The sequence below is a fragment of the Homo sapiens genome, chromosome 6 (genome assembly GCF_000001405.40).
Source record: "Homo sapiens chromosome 6, GRCh38.p14 Primary Assembly".
Lineage (NCBI taxonomy): Eukaryota > Metazoa > Chordata > Mammalia > Primates > Hominidae > Homo > Homo sapiens.
Window position 1 is genome coordinate 112,780,507 of NC_000006.12, and position 22,778 is coordinate 112,803,284.

Here is a 22,778-nt window from a genome sequence, read left to right on the forward strand (position 1 = left end):
CCGTTAAGTACGTACTGAAAAGACACATGATACAATGTAAACACTTCCCTTGGGTTTTTATTAATTTTGTTTTATTTCATTTTCTAGACTTTTCCATTTGTCTTTTGGGCTGTATGTACATCAGTGAATGCTAGGAGCGCGGTTGGTCAAATAATGATATGCATATGGATCCCTGTAGGTGGCGCTGCAATCCTGCAAGAATAATTCTAGAGCCACCAACAGGTCTCCATTATGGTCTACCCAGATACTGATTTGGGACGCCTTCAGAAAATGGAAACGCTAATGAAAAATTAGTTAAATTTAACCAACAGTGATTTGTCCAATTTAAAATTAAAAAGGGAAATCATGTAGAACAAACCTAGGCATAAATATAAGCACGTACAACACATTTTAAACATCAACACTAAGTCTTCCTTAACCCTAATACTTCCAAATAATCTTTTTTAGAACCCTTGGCAACCCCAGTTTACACACACTGAAAAACGACAGTGCAATAAGAAAGATTGCATTGGCTTCTTCAACTGAGTAGTCAAAAGCATAGAATGATATTGAGAGTAATCTAAAAAAAAAATAAGCCTTTTCTAGGCTTAATTTTTATAATTTTTATAATATAATAAAATTATTAAATCTGCCAAATAACAGAAATACTTTCCCATGTTAGCACTTTAAATATTTTTAATTCTTTATATATTTGAGACTTATAGAGTGAAACAAAAATACAAAGAAAAATTTTATTAGTTGAATCAAAGCCTTAAGTTCATGATTTGTAAGGGGAGGAAGCACAAAAAAGTATCTGACTTTTTGATAGACTTGACACAGAAGTCAATGGAGACTTGCAGTTTACGTCAGGGTTTCTCAATCTTGGCATTGTTTACATTTGGAGACAGACAATTCTTTGTCATGGGGGGCTGTGCATTGTAGGATGTGTAGCAGTATCCTTAGTCTCTACCCACTAGATGCCAGTAGCACTCCCCCACCCCACTCCCAGTTTGTAACAACCAGAAATGTCTCCAGACACTGCCAAATATCCCTTGGAGGACAAAATTGCTCCTGAGTGAGAACCATTGGTCTATAGTTATGTATTTTTTTATACACAAAGGAAGAAGTATGTTGGAAGCGTGTCCTGTGATAAGCTATTCATAAAAATAGTAAGAGTTTGTTTTCTAATTAATTAATGTCCCAGAGGACCTAGAAACTTTGAGTATTCATCAACATAGACACAGTAACTCATCTCTATCACTTCAATACACCAAGGCATGCATATATTGTCTTCATCAAGTTTACATGCATGTTTCTTGTTTGAAATAACTGACTACTGTTTAAAGCTTTATCAAACAATGTAATGGTTAATGGAGTACCTACCATATTAAAATATTTGGGATTATACCTATTATGTATGCTTTCAGAAGATTACTGGAACATAATCTTCAAATAATAGTGGTTAATGAATTTTCTGGTGCTTTTTTAGGTATTTACTTAGAATAACATTGGAATCACTCACCATATTCTTCAATTTGAAGATTAATAATACTCTTGGAATATGACAAAAAATACACTATTCATGGGGTTTACATATTTTGGAGAACTAAAAATGTTATGCATCAATTTACATCAGATGCCTAGGGCATCTCTTTGCATAGCATGTTAGAATTTGAAGAGACATGCGAAATAATCTTACGTCCGGCCACTTTAGTGGTTTTGAAACTGAGGCTTACGGAGGTTAAATAGTGTCCTCAAAATAGCACAGCGAGAGAAAGTTCTGTGACTAGATCCCAGGTGTCTGGAATGCTTTCCAGTGGCTTCTTCGCCATGTCATGCTTATGGTGGAAGATGGCATCTCAGCTCTGGGTCTACATTTAATCTATTTCTGTATTTTGAATTTAATAATATCAATGCATAAAATACTGGCTTGCCTAGTTATATTATCAAAATATCGTTTAAAACCTTAAGACCCTGTTTGTTAGTTCAGGTCCACCAGACTGCCTACTTAAATAAAACAAGTAAAAATGATGGTGAGAAATTCTTAAGTACCTGTTTGATGAAATATCACTTGATAATTCTGGAAAGCTTTCCTGTTTATTTGAATATTATAGCATTGCTGAAATTGGAATTAAATGAATGCCTGATGTTGATTTTCTTAAAAAAAGAAAAATTCTGTTGCATATTTATTGCTACACTTATTTGTAATAAAGTGTGATAAATTCTCTCAAACATGACTACAAGGCCTGCCATAGCATGTGTTTTGTCATTGCTGTTCAAGTTTACCAGGTGCTGTGTGATAGTTCAATTACCCAATACCTATTTATAAAATCAAAATATTGCAAAATGTTTGTTCCTTCAGCTTTGGGCTCAATTATAAGAAATGCGAAAGCTGAAATTCTTTTGAGATATTTGATTAAAATAGGACCATCAGATAATCCACAACATAAATAAAGTATTTTTTGATGTTCATCAAAATAAAAATTGATAAAAAGTACTCTTGTCGGGATGCTGCAGACCTAGGAAGGTGGTCTCAGTTTGAGATGAGCTATTCTAATAACAATTCCTTGCCATTTATAAAGAATGATAAAACTGGCTCTGACCATTGAAATCACCCTTTGAAACCTTCTAACCCACTAAAACAATCCCTTTTTCATTCTATTCAAGATACTCTAACTGAAAAGTGTTTTGACTATCCCTATATAGAGTTCATATAACCTCAACTTCAAATGTTATGTGTTTATCATCTAGTGGTCTTTATTATATTATAGAAAAAGGGGACACTAAAAACATAATAAATATTAGTTTGAAACGGGCAGGGAGAAATTGAAAAAAGATTTTTAAAAGATGCAATGACTGTGTAGACAACTCCAACATACCGTTTCCAAATCTAATACCATAATTCTGCTTTTAATTAGACTATTCTTGGATCAATCACAATATATTTATTTCAAGTCAGAGCTAAATACCTATGTCCTATATGTGTTACGGTACTTGATGTAATGGTGTTGAGGCTAGAAAATGAACCCTAACATGATCACAACTTTAATGAGTGTGAGCTGAAAAAGCTGCTACTTAATGCTGGTCTTTCTACAAGTGGAAGCTTGAAGTTTGCTTCTGTTAATTTGGGAAAAAAAAATCTTAATTTTTTTAAGTTAAACAAATGAAAAGTAATTATCCACCAATATTATTCATGAAGAAAACTGTTAAGTGATCTTAGAAGAAAATGAGATGCTTAAAAATTAATGTATATAGGTGGAATCAGAACTGTAACTCTGTAGATTTTTTTTCATTTATTTGTTTTCAATGGGACATTGGAATTTGACCTTGTGATCTCATTATATTCTTCCAGATTGGGAGGGACCCCAATCTGTTAACCCCATTCCAAGAAGAAAGCAGTTTCAGAAATAGTTCCTTCAAGTGGATGTGAATGAGAAAGCTTCATGTAAAATGCATCATTGTAGAACTATCACAACAGAGAATGAACATCTATGTCTCTCTCTATTGCACTGTAATACTATGAGGCTGGGCATTAGCTTTTTAGATGTTATAGGGATGTGGAAATTGTGAACTAAATTGTGAACTGAACTGCTGAACTGCAATCTGTGAGCCCAGTGAAGGTAAGCTACATTTATAGTATCCTGGGGGTCAAGAGAAAACTGGAAGAATCAAGGCATCTCTTTGAATCCTTGCTACTGCATTTACTAGCTGAGGCATTAAGTCATTTAAATTTACTGAACATCAAGTTCCACGTATGTAAAATAAGGAATACAATACTTGACTAAGAGATTTCTTGGTAAACAAACAAGCAAAAGGGCTCAAAAGATGGGAAGTATTAGAAAACTTATGTGCATGCTAAATATCAAACCAAACCCACCTCATCATGTCTAGTACATCTGTATGAGGAAATTCATTTGTTCTCTCTCTCTGTGTGTCTCTCTCTCCTTCATCAGTTCATTGATGTGAGCATCCATCTCTCTCCAATAGAACCTTGGATTCTATTTTTTAGCTTTGCCTCCTCTCAGGTGACTTCTGAGCCTCTGACAGGCCCCTTGGCACAATTTTACTTCCCTATTGGCTTGGAAATAGTGTAACCTACTCTTGTGACAGACACCAAAGTGCCTACACAGTAGAGAGCATTCAGGTGGCTATCACAAGGAACTAAATACACAGAGGCTGGTGCTAGACCCAATGTATGGATAACTGGCTCTTTTCACTCTACTTTTGGCTAGTGAACACAGCTGTCAACTGATACTTCATTCGAGACCTGATAGACCTGATGTTTGATTGTCTTGGCCACGTTGATAATGTCAATTCATTCATTACTGGGAAACAGGAAGATAAACTTTTTACTTTCCCTTTCATAAATTTGAAATTTTTTGTTATCATTGATTTCTGCAGATACAGAGAAAGAAAAGACTTCTTTGAACTCTTTGAATAAGAACAGAATTCCCTTCTACCCTGTTTCTGACTTAATACTCCAATAAAAGCTAACCTTTTAACAACAGCAGCTGATATTTACATAAGATTCACCATGTGTAAGTTCTAGAACCAGTTAGTTCACATGTACTATCTTAGTTAATACACACTGTTAAGATTATGAACTAGATAAAATAATATTTTTCTGCATTTTTAGAGATGAAAAAATATATTCTACAGGGTCAGAGTTAGCCCGTATGTTTTCAATAATTTTTTACACATTTGCTTTTTTTTACTTGATGATATATTGCAAACAATTACCTGTGTCTTCACAATTTTTTCAAAAACATATATTGGATCGATTGAATATCCCATGATATTCCATCAGTTAGATGTCTCAAAATTCAATCAACAATTCCTCTATGATTTAATGTTTTATCTGTTGAAAGTTTTGCTAATACAAGTAAGGCTGGCATGAATGTTTTATAAAATATTTTTGTCTGTATTTTTCATATTTATAAAAACATTTCTTAAAGCAAAATTATAAATCAAAATTTATGATCATTTTTGAGACCCTTGACTGATTTCCAGACCGCGTATCCCCAGTCACAGTCCCTCCAACAGTGTTAGAGATGATCTCATCACACTATAGTGAATATGAATATTCAATCATTAAGAAAGAAAAAGAGTAAGAGAAATAAAAGTAAGTATAGCAATTATTACAATCACATGATTTAAATGTTTGGCTCTTTCTTCTTTAAACATGTATATAGCTTTTAATTTTGTAGTATTTTAAAAATGAATTCTATATGACATTATGTAACAGTAACTTTTTCTGTTAGATTTTAGGCAAACATTTTAAAATTTTATTTGCTTTTTAACTTTTTCAAAAATTTATACTCATAATTTAATTTTTTTTCAAATTAAAATGTACCAAATAATCACATGAAGTTGTATACTTCGTACAAACAGGGTTTTAATCTTCACAATCCTTCCTGTTTCACATTCTTTAGACTACATACTTAGTAATCTCAAATAATAACATATTCATAATTTATATTTAAAACATGATGTCTTTGGGTAAATCAATTCATACATATAGACATAACAGAGACACACACACACACACACACAAAGAATATAGGTTTCTAAGCTCCCCAACTTTTCTTTTTTTTTTTTGAGATGATGGAGTCTTGCCCTGTCGCCCAGGCCGGAGTGCAGTGTGGCCATATCAGCTCATTGCAAGCTCCGCCTCCCGGGTTCATGCCATTCTCCTGCCTCAGCCTCCCGAGTAGCTGGCACTACAGGTACCCGCCACCATGCCTGGCTAATTTTTTTGTATTTTTTAGTAGAGACGGAGTTTCACCGTGTTAGCCAGGATGGTCTCGATCTCCTGGCCTCGTGATCCGCCTGCCTTGGCCTCCCAAAGGGCTGGGATTACAGGCGTGAGCCACCGCACCTGGCCTGAGCTCCCTAACTTTTCTACTTAAAGTATTTTTCTGCCAGTGCTTAAAAACTCATGTAAAGTTATTTGTAAGAATTAAGTTATGATAAATTTTCTTCACACTCTTTCATTTTACGCCAATATTGTACTTAGGTTATATTGTGCTTTTTGCTTTCTATCACAGTTTAGTAGACTTAAATAAAATGATATCTATCTACCTGTCTACATGCATACAAATATACATATTTGTATCACATAATTGGAAGAGCTTGGAAGGAAAAGATTTTTATTCTGAAGGCTGCGTGTGGCTAATATTTTGTGAAGTAGACTGGATTTTATACTGTGAGACTATTACTTATATCATGTAGTTAATTGTTGTTTGCTTGTAAAGAAGCTATGAGCACAATATGATGGAAATCTTTTGTCGTTAAATCAACAGAAATGGACTTAAAGAAGGCAACTGCCTGAGACCCCATTTCAATGAAGGAAGAAAAGAAGGAAGTCATGTTTTGATAAAGCTATCAGAATTTAAATATATGTACTAGGATTCCATATCTGTTTTGGTTTAAAGAAAGAATTTTTAGTTGGATAAATCTGACAAGATTTGAAGATAAAAACAAAACAAAAATCTGGATCTCGTCTTTCTCTTATAAAGTGCGGTTTCTTCACATCACTCAGGAATGTTTATTCCAACTTAAGGCAGAACAGAAAATTGATTAATGCTGACTGCTTTCCTATGACTCTGTACTGTATTTACCTGAAATATAAACCACAATTTCAATAAATGGGTTTGTCTGATAATAGCAAAAAATTGAATCTCTCTGAAAATTCTGAATAAAATGTATGTAGTTTGGTTACATCTCTTTCTTACAGGAAAATGTACATAGGTAATATCATATTTTCTAAAAACGAATTAAAAAGAAATGACCAAGAGCTTATTAAATAAAGAGTGAAATTAGATAGGCTTTAAACCCCCAAAACAATATTCTCCTATGACTTAACTTCAATTAATATTAATTTAGAAAACCTTTTTCTTTCCCCCATAGGTAGCTTTTAATCAATTTTTCCCCTGATTCAAAACTACTGGATACTTAGGGCAGATGCAATTCTATAACCTTCTTCTTCCTCTACTACCCTGTAGAACAGATGATACAAATCTTTTCCCTGTGTTCAGATGGAACGTTTTATAACCACGTCGTGAACTGGCAGCTTGAATTTTGCACACTGCTACTTGCCATACTCTCTTGCAGCCCATGTTGTAGATAAAGCGTCCTTGTATTGAGGTTATTTTGGAACTGAAACTCCTCTGGATTTGTTCTGGTGCATTTTTGCCTCGTGCTTCTAAAGTTTTCGTTTAAAAGCTATGGGTTTTTTTTTTTATGATTTAAAGCCAAAAAATATATGCTTGTGCTTAATGAGTAGTTCTATTTTTAATTTTCTGAAGAACCTCCATACTATTTTCCATAATGGCTATAGTAATTTACATTTCTACCAACACTGTGTGAAATCCATCTTTCTGCATCCTCTCATTTCCAAGAGTGTTAAGAAATGCAGTGGAACAACTGTATAAACCAGAAGAATCAAGATATGCATATTAAACACAAACTGTATTGATTTTCCATGAGAAGTCTGCTCTGTCAATAGTCCTCTAAATTATGGTGTCTGTATGGTTGTAGATTCAGAGCATGAGTGATGATGGTCTGATGGTAGGGAGGCCATATTTACAGCCAGAAGAGTATTTACCCCAGACAGATGAACTTTCTGTTTTTGTGATCTAAACAATAACAAGCAACAAATTTAACTTTTAGTAATCGTTTTCACTGATGTGCACATCACTGAATTAAATTCTATTCCAAGGGAAAAAGACGTGGTATAATGATACTGAAGTCAATAGTTCTTGACAATCTGAATCTTATTTTGAAACCTTGTTAAAAGTCAGTTATGAGACAAGTTGTAGATTTTTATTGGTTCTTTGCAATTAGATAGAGATTGATATGAGATGCTACTTGTTCTGGCTGACAGTTGATAACAAACACATGTCCTGTGAATATGTTTGAGAAAAACGACTTGTTATGAGGTTCGTTGAATGGTAGTAAAACCGAGCGTAATTTACCAGCGGTATTATTCACTCTAAATTTCTCAGTTACCCCATCTCTATTCCCTTCTTTATTTTCTGTCAATTTTTCTCTATCTCTGCCTCTCTCCGATGTCTCTCAAGTAAAGTGCTTTTCCTTTTCTTTCTATTTCATTTAACAAATACATTTAACAAATAGTTCTTAAATGTGTGGTGTGTGCCAGACACTGAGTATATGCTGGGTATGGAGAAATGACTGAAATAGTCTCCATTCTAAAGAAACTGTCAGTAGTTAGGGAGCATTATATGTAAAAACTGGTGGTTTATTCTGCTTCTGGACAACATGGTGAGCTATGACAGGGTCCTACATTGCTCTGTAGAACCGGTCACTGGACAGTAAGAAAGGTTGATGAATTTGGAGACAAGTCACACATTGCAAAATTCTGGTGAGCATTATTCACATTTTATTCTTAATAAATGACACCTCACTGAAATACACAATGCAATGTGAATTTTGCTCCCTGGAGTGTGTAAAGTAACAGAGAAACTCTACTCAACCATAAATAAAAAACTGAAAAATCTTGGAGAGACCAAAGGTGTTTGTATCTTGATGGAACCAGGGTAGTTGGAGGTAGGGAAGTTTTCAAATTAGGGAAGGCCAGGAGCCTCAAATAAAATGCAAGATGAGTTGGCCTTTCTTTTCGTGCCCCTTTTCTTTCCCTAAGCTCTCAATTCCATGGGCAGGAATATAAAAACATCCACTCTGAGGTAAGAAAGGGGAGAACTGTAGTCTAGTTGTGGCGGAGGTCCTCTATCGGTGAGCAGGCACAGCCTGAGGAGTTCCTCAACATTCTTGCATCTCAACCCTTTTTCCCCACTGCATGAGCTAATAAGAACAGAAAGTAAGGGGCCAGGATGAAAGCAATGATAGAGTGAGAGTTACTGCAAGTTCCCTGGCAGTGAGACAAGGCTGGAAGGGCTATGAGTCTATGATACAAAGCGATAATTATCTCTCTTCACCAAGAGGCGCACAAGTTGCAGCCCAGGTTTTTGTCACTCTTCTGAATAACAAAGATCAGTCAAAGCAATTGATAGATCAAATAAAATTCGAGTTCCTAGTTACTGAGAAGCTTAAACACAATGCAATAAAAATCACTATGGAAAAAAGTGTTACCTTAAAAGCAAAACAAATGCAATAGAAATAATAAAAAAATTAAACTTGGAATTATAAATACATTCAACAGATAAAAGAAGATTAAAACATGAAGTAAAACATTTTCAAGAAAATATGCAGACATTTTGGGAAATGTCTGAAATGAATAAATTTTTAAAAACAATGAATGGGTTGAATGACAAAATATATACAGTAAAAAAATAAATAAATAAATACTGAGCTGGAGATTGAATAGCAGAACTTTCCCAGAAGGAATAGGAAAGGATTAATTGAGGATGACAGGGGAGAAAGGCAGGAGAAAAATAAATGAGTAAAAAGGGTGTATATTGGCAGAATTTTGAGCATCTGGATGACGAAGTCACCAGAGTATTTTTGGATGAGGAAGTATATCCTAAACAAGACTCCAAAAAGTACAAACAACAAGGAGAAAAGCTGAAGGGTGTGATTTTATCACAATCGAAGATTTATCTTCTAGGAGAGATATTAAAGATAAAACTAAAAGTGGGAGAAACTATTTGCAGTGGCTAAAACACAGAAGAAATTTTAACCTGTATGTACAAAGAGACAAATGCACTGCTGCTGGAGATGTAAATTGGAGCAGATATTCTGGAGAAGAATTAGGAAACACTATAGAAAACAGATAATCACCAGATGTTCTTCTTGGTGGTGACTTGAGTAAGGGGGAGGATAATTTTTGTAGTCTTTCCTCTGGATGATAGTTATCAGGGAAAAAAAATCCAGAGGATGTAATGCTTGAAGTGAATCTTCAAAGATAAATAAGAATTAATGCATTGGACAAAAGTTAACTGGGGAAAGGGAGTATAAGAACGTAGGCACTGTGGCCAGGCGTGGTGGCTCATGCCTGTAATCACAGCACTTTGGGAGGCCACCTCTACCTCAGTTCATTCTCCATAATTTTTTCCAGAATAATATTCCTAAATGTAATCCGACCATGTCACTTTTCTACTTTAACTTGCTCATAAGCTTTCTTTCAGAATAAAGCCCATGACACACCCTTCAAGGCCCTTCATGGTTTGCCTTTGACAAAATTTGAAACTCTATCCTCCTTTTCTTAACCTAGTGACCCAAAAAGAGTGCCCTGAATGACATCTGTTCTTTAAGGCCTCTGTATTTTTTACTGGCAATAGAGTGCCTACATTCTTTTTTGTTTTTTGTTTTGTTTTGTTTGAGATGGAGTACTCCCCCAGTCACCCAGGCTGGAGTGCAGTGGCAGGATCTCGGCTCACTTCAACCTCCGCCTCCTGGGTTCAAGCAATTCTCCCACCTCAGCCTCCCGAGTAGCTGGGATTACAGGCACCCATGGGTTCTTTTCTCACCATAATTACCTCTTTTCCAGTCATTTCAAATATGTCTATCAAATAGAGCTTTCATATTTGAAAAGTTATAACTGCATGTAGTGCCTGTAAGTTCCTTGTCTTGTTTCTAATCTTGAAGTAAAAGCGTTCAACTTTACAACCTTGAACATGACATTAGCTAAGGGTTTATCGTATGTGGCCTTTATTGGGTTGAAGTACATTTCCTCTATACCTAATCTGTTCAGAGTTTTCATCAAGAAAGGGTATTGAATTATGTCAAATGCTTTTTCTACATCTGTTAAGATGATCATGAGATTTTTATCCTTCATTTTGTTAATGTAGTGTATCACATTTATTGATTTGCATATGTTAAACAATTCTTGCATTGTAGGGGTAAATCCCATTTGATCATGGTGAATTTTTCTTTTAATATGTTTTTGAATTCAGTTATATAATATTTTGTTGGCAGATTTTTGCATCTATATTTAGCAAGGATATTGGCCTATATATTTCTTTTCTTGTAGTGTCCTTATCTGGCTCTTATCAGGGTAATGCTAACTTCATAAAATAAGTTTGGAGTTATTAGCTCTACTTTGATTTTTTTTGAAAGAGTTTGAGAAGAATTGACATTAGTTCTTCTTTAAATGTTTGGTATAATACAATAGTAAAGCTAATCAGTTCTGGACTCTAAAGGAGACTTGTTATTACACATTCAATCTTCTTGCTCATTGTAGGTCTATTAAGATTTTAAATTTCTTTGTGATTCAGTGTTGGTAGGTTTTATTAGTTGAGAAATTTATCCATTTCTTCTAGATTATCTGATTTGTTGACATATACTTTTTTTTACAATAGTTTCTTATAATGATTTGTATTTTGGTTGTATCGATTGCAATGTCTCCTCTTTCATTTATCATCTCATTTATTTGAGTAGTCTCTCTTTTTTCCTAGTCTAGCTAAGGGCTTGCCAATTTTATCTTTTCAAAAAAACCCAACTCTTAGTTAAATTATTTCTCTAGTCTCATTTCATTTATTTCTGCTATAATCTTTGTTATTTCCTTCCTTCTGCTAAATTTGAGGTTACTTTGTTCTTCTTTTTCTAGTTTTTTGAGGTATAACTTTAGAGTATTTGTGATTTTTTTTTCATTGATCACTGTAGATTTCCCTCTTAGAACTACTTTTTGCTGCATTCTATGTTTTGGCATGTTATGTTGCTATTTTAGTTTGTCTCAAGGTATTTTTTTAATTTGTTATTTGATTTCTTCTGTGACCTATTGGTTTTTAGGCGCATGTTGTTTAATTTCCACATATTTGTGTATTTTTCAAGATTTCTCATCATTGATTCCTCATTTCATGCTATTGTTATCCAAGTAAATATTTCATAGGATTTCAGTCTCCTCAAATTTATTAAGAATTGTTTTGTGGCCTAACATATAATCTATCTGGAGAATGTTCTATGTGCACTTAAGAAGAATATATATTCTGCTGCTATCAGATAGAATGCTATGTACATGCATATTAGGTCCATTTGGTCTACACTGTAATTGAAGTACAATATTTCTTTATTGATTTTCCTTCTATGTATTGAAAGTAGGGTACTGAGGTGCCCCATTATTATAATATTGCAGTCCATCTGTCCTTTTAGATTATTAAATCATTGCTTTATATATTTAGATGTTCCAATGTTAGGTGCATATGTATTTACAATTATGTTGTCCTCTTGGAAAATTAACTCCTTTAGCACTATTTAATGACTTTCTTTGTCTCTTTTTATAGTTTCTGACTTAAAGTCTATTTTGTGTGATATAATTATAGCCACCTCTGCTCCCCTTTGGTTTCTTTTTGCATGGAATATCTTTTCCCATTCTTTTTATTCCATTCCTTTCAATCTATGTGTGTCCTTACTAGTAATGAGTCTCCTACAAGCAGCATATGGTTGGATCTGGTATTTTTTGAAATCCAATCTGCCACTCTATCTTTTATAGGAGAATTTAATCCATTTACACTCAAGGCAATTACTGATAGGTAAGAATCTGCTATTGCCATTTCATAATTGGCTTTCTGATTGTTTTGTAGGTCTTTTGTTTCTTTCTGTCTTGCTATTGCCCTTTGTGGTTTAATGGTTTTCTATGGTTGTATACTTTGAATTCTTTCTTCTTATATTCTGTGCAACTACAATAGATTTTTGCTTTGTGGTTACCATAATGCTTACATAAAATATCTTATCCTTATAACAGGCTACTTTAAATTGATAACAACTTGCTTTTAATAGTATTCAAAAACTATACTTTCACTCTTCCCCATCTTTTATGATTTTGATGTTATAATTTATATTTGTTTTTATACTTTTTGTCCCTTAATAATTTATTATAGCTACAGTTATTCTTAATAGATTTGTCTTTTAACCCCACTAGTAGGGATAACATTGTTTTACATGCCACCCTTACAGTATTAGAATTAGTATGACTACATATGATTTATGTCATCAAGTTTTTTACTTCCTTATTTTGTACTATTAATTAATAGTCATTCATTTCAGTTTAAAGAATTCCCTTTGACAGTTTCTATAAAACAGGTCTGGTGGTGATGGGCTCCCTTAGCTTTTGTTTATCATAAAAAGTTTTTACTTCTCCCTCATTTTTGAAGGATATATTTGTGGATAAAGTGTGCTTGGTTGGCAGGTTTTTTATTTATTTTTGTTTGTTTGTTTGTTTCTTCATTTTTTTCTACCAGCACCTTAAATATACCATCCTTCTCTCTACTGGTCTGTAGGGTTTCTCCTAAGAAATCTGCTGAATACTGTATTAGAGCTGTCTTCAATGTGATGTGTTTCTTATCTTTTGCTTTTCAGTATTTTTATTTCTTTGATTTGTTGTAATTTGATTATGAAATGTCTTGGTAAAGTCCTCCTTGGGTTGAGTTTGATTGTGACCTCTGAGCTTCCTGTAGTAATATCTCCCCAGAATTTTGAAATTTTCAGTCATTATTTTCTTAAAATATGCTCTCTAGTCTTTTTACCTGTTTTCTCCATGAGGACCTCTTATTATGCGAAGGTTAGTTCACTTGATGGCGTCCCATAATTCCTGTAGGCCTTCTTCATTCTTTTTTATTATGTATTTTTTTCTTTTTGTTCCTCTAATTAGATAATTTGAAATATTCTGCTTTAGACCTCACTGATTCTTTTGCTTAAGTCGGCTGTTAAAGCCTTCTAGTGAATTTTTTTAGTTCAGTTATTATATTTTAATCTCCATGACTTGTATTTGCTTTTTATTACTTCTATTTCTTTTTCAAATTTCTCATTTTTGTTCTAAGTTGTTTTCCAAATTTTATTGAATTTTGTATTTGTATTTTCTCATACTTTCTTAAATTTCTTTAAGAGGATTATTCTAAATTACATGTCATTTTATAGATCTTCATTTTTTTCTGGGTCCGTTACTGGAGATTTATTATTTCCTTTCGGTATTATTATGTTTCCCTGAGTTTTCATAATCCTTGTGTCCTTGAATTTATGCCTGTACATTTGATAAATGTCTGTCTTCTCTGGCCTTTGCAGATGTTCTTTGGTGGTGATAGGCCTTTACTATTTAGTTTAGCCTGGGATTTTGTATGGGTTGACTAGTAGCAACATGAAAAAGCAGACTTTGGTGTCAGATTTTCTAGTTGGGCTGGATCATTTCTGTGATCTGAGGTTAAATGGTATTGCTGGTTGTGCTCCATGGTCCATTAAAACCACTAACTGAACTTTGTTGTCAGGTGGGAATGCTGGCTGGTCTCTAATCATCTCTGTTTGAGCAGGGTTGCAGGCTGTCTTCCTTGAATGGGTGGTATTGTTATTTAGAATCTGTACTTGGGCATTTCTATGTGATGGGTTCTGAGGCTGGATGAGGTCTCTAGGTTGCTGCTTGGCCACACAACATGAGCAGGGCCAGAGGCTATGCTCCACAGATACGTGTAGACTTGGGCTTGCCTCCTGGCCTAGGGTATACCTATGCAGAGCACTAAGATTTGGTAAAGCCACCACACTGTGGTTGGCATTGAGTGGGGCCAGATGCTCCCTCTGTGGGTAATTACTGACCTGCAATTGCCTCCATGCTTTGAATACTTAATGGAAACATTTGAACTTAGTTGGAGCACCCTCTTGAGTTGAGTGGGTTCAGATGTTCCCTTTATGGGTAATTGCTTACCTATAGCTACCTCTTGCTCTAGGGAAGACCTAATGAGAGTATCCAGGCTCTGTGGGAAAATTGGTTAGGCGTTTAATTCTAAAAGACCCCTGAACCATGTTTCCTTCAGCGCAATGCTATTGGCTGGTTATTTGGGGTGGCATTGCTGTTGGCTGGAATGTAGAAAAACCACCAAGAACTGTGCATTGGTCACTGTGAGCCCCACTTTCATTTTTTTTTCTAACTGACCCCAGGGAGTCTAGCCCTGCTAGTATTTCTAATGCTTCTTTTGGAATGAGACAGGAGTTAGCCTCACATGAACAGTTCTAGAACAGTGGGGGAGCAGAATGTCTGCCTCCAACTCACTTTTCCCATTGTAGAAACCGAGAGTCCAGAGGAATTATCTGGTGCTGTGCCAGCTTGGAGGAGGGGTAGCACAGTCAAAGAGAGCTATTCATTTTATCATTCAATAGCAGCTTTCTTGGTTCTATAGTCTAAGAGAGTGTATCAGTCTGATTTCTAAGATCTGGGGTATTTACAATGATAGCCTTGACTGTGGATAGTTGCTAGTTGGATTTCTGAGGTTGCAGGGTGAAGCCAAAGAACTCCTATTCCACCATCTTCTTGACACCACTACTAGATGAGATTTCTTTAGAATGGGTTTTGGAGTATGCTACAAAGGTGGCAGAGGATAAAATCTAAGGGAACATTTAAGAGTTAGGTAGAAGAATAGGAAGCCATAAAATCACTATGCTTCAGTAGGTCTCCTTTATTAAGTTAAGAAGGTTTTTATTTGGGAAGTCTTTTTCTCTCTCTCTCTCTTTCTTTCTTTCTTTCTTTCTTCTTTCTTTCTTTCTTTTTCTTTTCTTTTCTTTCTTTCTCTTTCTTTCTTTCTTTCTTTCTTTCTTTCTTTCTTTCTTTCTTTCTTTCTTTCTTTCTCTCTCTCTCTCTCTCTTCTTTCCCTTTCCCTCCCTCCCTCCCTCCCTCCCTTTCTTTCTTTCTTTCCTTCTTCTTTCTTTCTTTCTTTCTTTCTTTCTTTCTTTCTCTTCCTTCTTTTTTTAATATCAGTAGCTATTGATACATAAATTAAAAAGTATTCCATCAAGTCATTTAGGGAAAATATTACATCTTGTCTTCATAGATGTTATTTTACGTGTTTCTCCATAGTGACTCAATTTGGGCCTCTATTTGGGCCTCTAGTCCAGCTAGTTGTGGAAAGTCTGATATTGACAATTCATAAGCCTAGTGACTTCCAGGTTAAAAATGAAGACTCAAATTAAATTAATCTGTACTTCTTCTCTTCCTTTATTTTCTCCCCCTCTCCCTGGAGGTGATGTAAATTATGATGGGGGAGGTACTTAACATATTATTCTGTTTCCCGGGGAGGGTCTTCAGTGAGTGCCATCATCCATTTTTAGCAGCTTCCACCAAGGTGTCATTGATCTTGCCTGGTCTTCAGCATTGGCTTGTGTTTTCACTTTCCCAGCCCTACCCTCTACTGGTCAAATTCCAATGTGCTATGGGTCCCTGTCCTCACTCTCAGTTCCTACAAATTTGTCAGCCAGCTGATTATTTTAGAGAATGCTTTAGAACTGTCAGGTGCTTTTCCACCACTGATTCTGGTGCATGCACCTAAGCACCTCCATCAGCTGTAGTTCTTGACAATTTCAACCTCCTGTGGCACAAGGGGGTTCTCTATGAGGATTTCATTTTCTCCAGGGATGTGGTCTCTCTACTTCCCAGAAACCTAGACAGTATCACACTACATTCCCCTCTATCTTCCTCCTTCCCTCTGCAATCATACTTTTTCTCCTTTTAGGTGAGTAAAACTAATGTATTTCACTAATCTCTGATGCATGATTCATAGCCTGTATCTTGAACCTCACAACTTTGCTCTTGATATGCAGAGGCCAGTTATCTGTAATTCCAAGAGTAACATTTTTTATTCTATAAAGGCTGCATATTGCACATCAAAAGCACATTAATCTTAAAACTACTGTCCGCATTTAATTTAAAAAATCTATTTAGCTTGGCTCAAAATCAAGCTTTGTGCTCGAGGCCACCACATATAGAAAGTGAGAGATGCTACCTTAATTATGAGGGAAAGGAAGGACTACATAAAAAGCTGTAAAACAGCAAAACAGCAAGCTCTTAATATATATCACCATATTGTCCCATTATAATTTGATACCTATTTATGTATTAGCCAAAATAGGCTTTCTTCTGTAACAAAGACTCCAGAAATTTAATGCAATAAAGGTTTATTTCTTGCTCATTCCCAGAGCAATGCAAGAAGGTGGGGGATGGGAGAGTAGATGGTAGCGATACTCATTTAGGGACCTATGGTCCTTCCATCTGGTGGGTCCACTATCTTTCAAGGCCTCAGAGGATTCCACTGGGTTTCTGCATCTGCCAGAAGGCAGGAAAGAGAAAGTGAATGGAATACCCATGAGATATTTTATGGATTAGTTAGTTTGTGAGCAAAGGACATGAACAGACACTTTTTCAAGAGAAGACATACGTGTGGCCAATAAGCATATTTTATAAAGCTCAGGATCACTGCACATTAGAGAAATGCAAATTGAAACCGCAGTGAGATATCATCTCACACTAGTCGGAATGGCTACTATTAAAAAGTCAAAAAGTAACAGATGCTGGCAAGGTTGCAGAGAAAAGGGAGCACTTATACACTGTTCGTGTGAGTATAAATTAGTTTAACCATTGTGGAAAGCAGTATGGTGAGTCCTCAAAGAGCTAAAAACACAACTACCATTTGACCCAGTAATCTCATTACTGAGTATATACCCAAAGGATTATAAATCACTCTCCTATAAAGACACATGCACACATATGTTTACTGCAGCACTATTCACAATAGCAAAGACATGGAATCAACCTAAATGCCCATCAATGATAGACTGGATAAAGAAAATGTGGTACATATATACCATGGAATACTATGCAGCCACAAAAAAGAACATGGATCAAGCTGGAGGCGATTATCCTTAGCAAACTTACACAAGAACAGAAAATAAAATACAATTTGTTCTCAATTATAAGTCGGAGCTAAGTGATGGGAACTCATTAAAACAGAGAAGGGAACAACAGACACTAGGGCCTAATTGAGGACGGAGGAGGGAAAGGGGCAGCAAAAATAACTATTGAGTGTTAGGCTTCATAACTGGTTGATGAAATAATCTGTGTAACAAACTCTCATGACAAGAGTTTACCTATATAAGAAACCTTCACATGTACTCTGAACCTAAAATTAAAGTTTAAAAAAGTAAAAAAAAAAAATTAAGATAGAAGAATGAAAATTAAGAATTGAAGCTAGAGGGTCTACATGACAAAGACCTGAGAGCAATCTGAAGCAGACAGACAGCTTGTAGGGAAATTAGGATCTCAACCTCCAGCTTCAGGAAATGAATTTTGCCAACAACCAAAGAACGTGAAACATCCTGGAGCCCCATATAAGAACAACAGGCACCACCTCCCTAACCTGTCAATATCCTGGGAAATAATGAGCAGAGTATCCAGTCATGCCACACCCCAAAATCTGACCTAAAGAAACTGTGAGATAACTAATTTGTTTTTGTTTTTGTTTTGAGACAGAATCTTGCTCTGTCACCCAAGCTGGAGTGCAATGGCACAATCTTGGCTCACTGCAACCTCTGCCTCCCGGGTTCAAGTGATTCTCCTGTCTCAACCTCCTGAGTAGCTGGGACTACAGGTGTGAGCCACCGCATCTGGTTAATTTTTTTATTTTTATAGTAGAGATGAGGTTTCACCATATTGGCCAGGCTGGTCTTGAACTCCTGACCTTGTGATCTGTTACAGGCGTGAGCCACTGCACCCACCCTAATTTGTATTTTTTTTTTTTTTTTTTGAGACAGAATCTTGCTCTGTCACCAGGTTGGAGTGCAGTGGCGCGATCTCCACTGACTGCAACCTCAGCCTCCCAGGTTCAAGCAGTTGTCCTGCCTCTGCCTCCAAGCAGCTGGAACTACAGGTGTGCACCACCACGCCCAGTTAATTTTTGTATTTTTAGTAGAGACAGGGTTTCATTACGTTGGCCAGGATGGTCTTGATCTCTTGACCTCATGATCTGCCCACCTCAGCCTCCCAAAGTTCTGGGATTACAGGCGTGAGCCACCACGCTGGGACTAATTTGTATTTTTTAATGTTGCTAAGCTTGTGGCAATTTCTTATGCAGCAACAGGAAACTAATGCTGCTTGGAAGTGACTTACTTCACTTTTGCCTACACTGCATTAAACAAAGTTTAATCATTCAAGCCCATCTAACTGCAAGACATTGGAAAATGTAGATTAATTTGTTCCTAGGAACAAAAGGAAATGAACTGTTGAGCACATAGGAGTGACTTTGCTATTGTTATTTATTTTAGCCAAAGATAACCAAGTCATATTCTCTGGGGCCTTTAAAATATACATGCTGATACATTGCAGTATTTAATATGATTCACTCATTTTGTTTTCTCACAATAATGATAAATGTAATGTCAACCTTATTTAATGTTTAGGCCTGATTTTCATCTGAATATATCAGATGAACTTCAACAAGTTATTTTGCCACTCCATTTCATTTCTGCTTCTATATAAAATAGCAGATGGGTAATCCAAATCACACATAAAAGGACAGACACTGAACCTTTAATAGAACATCTGAGAAGGAGAGCTTAGGTACTGGCTTAACAGACATGGAAATTAAAACTATTCCTTCTTGGGTCATGTCAATGACCATATCAATACACTCTGATATTCTCAATGGGAAAATCAATATAACAAATGCTTGGGTTCATTATTCTCTCTCTGCCTTTCTTTTAAGAAATGTTTCTGACATAAATTTAATGTATAGTTAACACACTGAAATGTAATGTGATGGTAGCTTTTTGCTTATTTTGTTCTGAATATTCTACACAGATCTTATCCACAAAAATATTTTTTATCAACTACAGATGCTCACCCTCCAACTGACGTTTTTGTCTTCAGTTCTAGACCTGTGTTTTCAGTTTCTTAATCAACATTTTTACCTAGTTATATGAAACTGTTTCAGACCTAATAATATTTCAAAAATTGTACTCACCATATTTCAACCCAAACTCACTTCCAAACCTTGTATTTCTTATCTTAAAGAATCATATCACATTCATTCAGTTCCAAGTTGGAAATTTGAGGGTAATCTTAAACTCTTCTTTTTCTCTTATGTCATCCAATCTGTCACCTAGTCCCATCTTCTCTATGTTCCACATAGCATTCAGATCTTTCCTCTGCTCCCCATTTCAACTAGATTTCATTAGCTCAGACCTGCCTTATTTCTCTAAAATACTAGAACAGCTTTTTAATTAATTTCCCCAACCCCAGTCGGATTATCAGCCACATAGTTGTGAGAGTGATATTTCTAAAATGCAAGTCTTATTAACACATGCTTAAAATCATTTAGTGGCTCCTTTTTGAAGTTAGGTAAAAGTCCAAAGTTTTAGATATTTACCAGGGCCCTTATTATCTGTACCCTACTTACATTTCCATCTAATCTTTTGCTACAACCTCAAGAGATCACTCTTAACCAGCTTTATAGAAATTCTTGCAGTTTTCTGATGAGGCATACTCTCTGGCACCTTTGAGTCATTTCAGTATCTTTTTGTTAATTTACATTTCAAACTTCTTGAATAATAATTGCTATTAAAGACTTTAAATTGTATCTTTTCTTTGAAGACTTTGTTAACTTTCTTGGATAAAGTGAGGTGCTCTTGAGAAATTTTGTAACTATGGGCCTCTACCATGATCACCTTTCCAATTATGTTCTTATTGCCAGTTTTTAAATGTCTCCTACAGTTGCTAGATGTTTTGGGGGGTGAGGCCTACCACTCATTTAATCTCCATGTACTCAGACAATAGCTTAACACATAAAACATGGGAGACACTCAAAATTGTTCTATGAGTGGACAAATAAGTGAACCACAGGGAGGGAGTTAATTTGAGAGGAAGTTGTGGGATATAATTCAAAACACATAGTAACTAAATGTTTGAGAAAAAGAATTGTGGTAGTTTATTCTACTTTCTTTTTTTTGGTCTTGACTTTCAGAATGATGTTTTCTTCTTTATACTTCCCCAGAGACAACACGTAATAGGTAATTCTGTATTGAATAATAACCAGAATGCAAAATTATTATATTACTTTTTAAAAAATTGCTGTTCATAACAAAAAGTAACAGACAAAGATTTGAATGAATCTTTTGAAATTTTATGTAATTTCTATTTAGACTAATTTATATATAAAGAAGGGAATAAGTAATTTTTTTCCATTCAAAAGAACTAAATATTTCAAGCAAACATTTTAGGATAAATGATCAACATCTAAAATTCCTTAAAAAAGTGAACTATGCAATGCAGTTCTTCAGGAGGGGCTTTTTTCTTATATTTAATTTCACTCAGGAAGATATGGTAAATTATTGTCAGGTTTAGTTAAATTCTGTAAAAGGCCTTTTTCAGGAAGACAGGCATTATAGCAAGCTTGTATTTCTTCCTTGATTCTGGAAATTGATACACTGAAAGCAGTTCATAACAGTAAAGCTGTATCTAAGTTTATGTTTTTACCAAACTCAACCCTCTGTAACATAGTCCCCAAAACAAATAATAGGGAAAATAGTTTATAAACAATCATGTTTGCACTGGAATCCATGAAAGCTACAGTTTCAATAGTTCTAAGATTCATTATACAGGTTTTAGAGATAGAGACACACAGACACAGAGAGAGACAGAGAGGGGAAGAGAGAGAAAAAGAGAGCGAGAGCACGAGAGAGAGAGAGGGGAGAGGGTTGGGAGAGGGAGAGAACGACTAAAATGTGCACTTATATGTATGTGTTTATGCCTAATTGCCTTATCTTTGTATGAATAATCTATAAAGTCAAGCTTATCATTTCAGTGATTCCTTTAATCATGCACAGTATCAGTTAAATAAAAATTTGGCCTTTCCCCTTACTTTCTATCTATAGAATTTGAGCTGTATAAAAGTGAAATTTTACTCAAGGATTAACCAATTAAATATCCATCTTCTTCATTTGAACTGATTCAATATACCAGAATTGGAAGAAGCCTGAAAATCCCTTCATGGCTTTTGTTATTGTATCAGGCCTTTTGATTTTATAAGCTCTGGATTTTTATCTTAAGTTTGAATACAAAGAGCAACTTAGACTCATAATGTGCCCTGTGAAATCCCACATGTGTTTTCCTCCTCTGTGCCTCATTTTCCTGCATTCCTAGTATATGATGAATCCTGTTCTCAGTTTACAGGGATGTGGACTATTTTGGGTTATGTCCAAGCATTTAACATGCTAGAAAAGGCAGCAGTGTTTTAAAGGGCTTCTTCATCAGAAGACCTCTGAGATTTCGTAGCTACACAGAAATGAAAGTTATTCTCACTCAAAGTAAATTACTTCACATTGAATTTCTCATTTATCTAAAATTTCCATTCATCTTTAATAATGTTATTTGTTCGTTTTGTCCTTTCCTTGAATGTAGAAAAATATACTTTATGATCTCTCAGCCAAAAATACATGTTTAAACAAGTATCTCTTAATATATTATATGTGAGCACATGTGAACAAGTTTTAATATTAATTAAGTTATTTCTGTTTAGCTAATCTTACATTATATGATGACTTAAAACTATCAGTGATAAATTGCCCTTTATTGATAATTTATGTATTAAATTTTACCAACTCTAGAGTAATGACTTTTGTTTTTTAAGTAATACCAAGAAGTACAATTTTTTGATGCGTATTTTACATAAAGTTTTCATATTTACATACTATGTGTTAAGGGAGTTGGAAAATATCTGTATAAATCAATGATTCTATGATCTTCACCAAGTCTATCTGTTAAGCTAATGAATGTTACAAATTATACCATTAATCTTGACTAATACCTAAATAGAAAAATGATTTAAACATTGAGGGGAAGAGAGATTTATTTGATTAAATAAACGTACTCCAAAGTTACTAAGTTGTTTCATGCTGAAGGATTGGGTACACTATTATATGCCTCTGGTAACATTCTTGACAGATAATCTTATGAGACAATGGGTATTTAATGAACACCTGTGTCCTTTGCATTGACCTAGCTGCTATAGACTTCACTTTATAGCTTATAGTCTCTGGCCCACATTGGAAATACAGTATTTTGGGTGAGGAAAGAC

The 22,778-nt window shown here is 35.0% G+C and overlaps 1 long non-coding RNA gene across 4 annotated transcripts in view, besides 1 other annotated feature; it reads right to left on the reverse strand.

Annotated features, from left to right (window-relative positions):
* LOC107986634 (uncharacterized) overlaps window positions 1-22,778 on the reverse strand; it is a 117,445-nt gene that overhangs the window by 51,131 nt on the left and 43,536 nt on the right. The window lies entirely within an intron of this gene.
* Window positions 182-291: a silencer, noted in NCBI's record as "silent region_17485". NCBI's record gives its function as "represses an Ori minimal core promoter by ATAC-STARR-seq in GM12878 lymphoblastoid cells {active_cell/tissue: GM12878}" and the evidence as "EXISTENCE:reporter gene assay evidence [ECO:0000049][PMID:35858748]".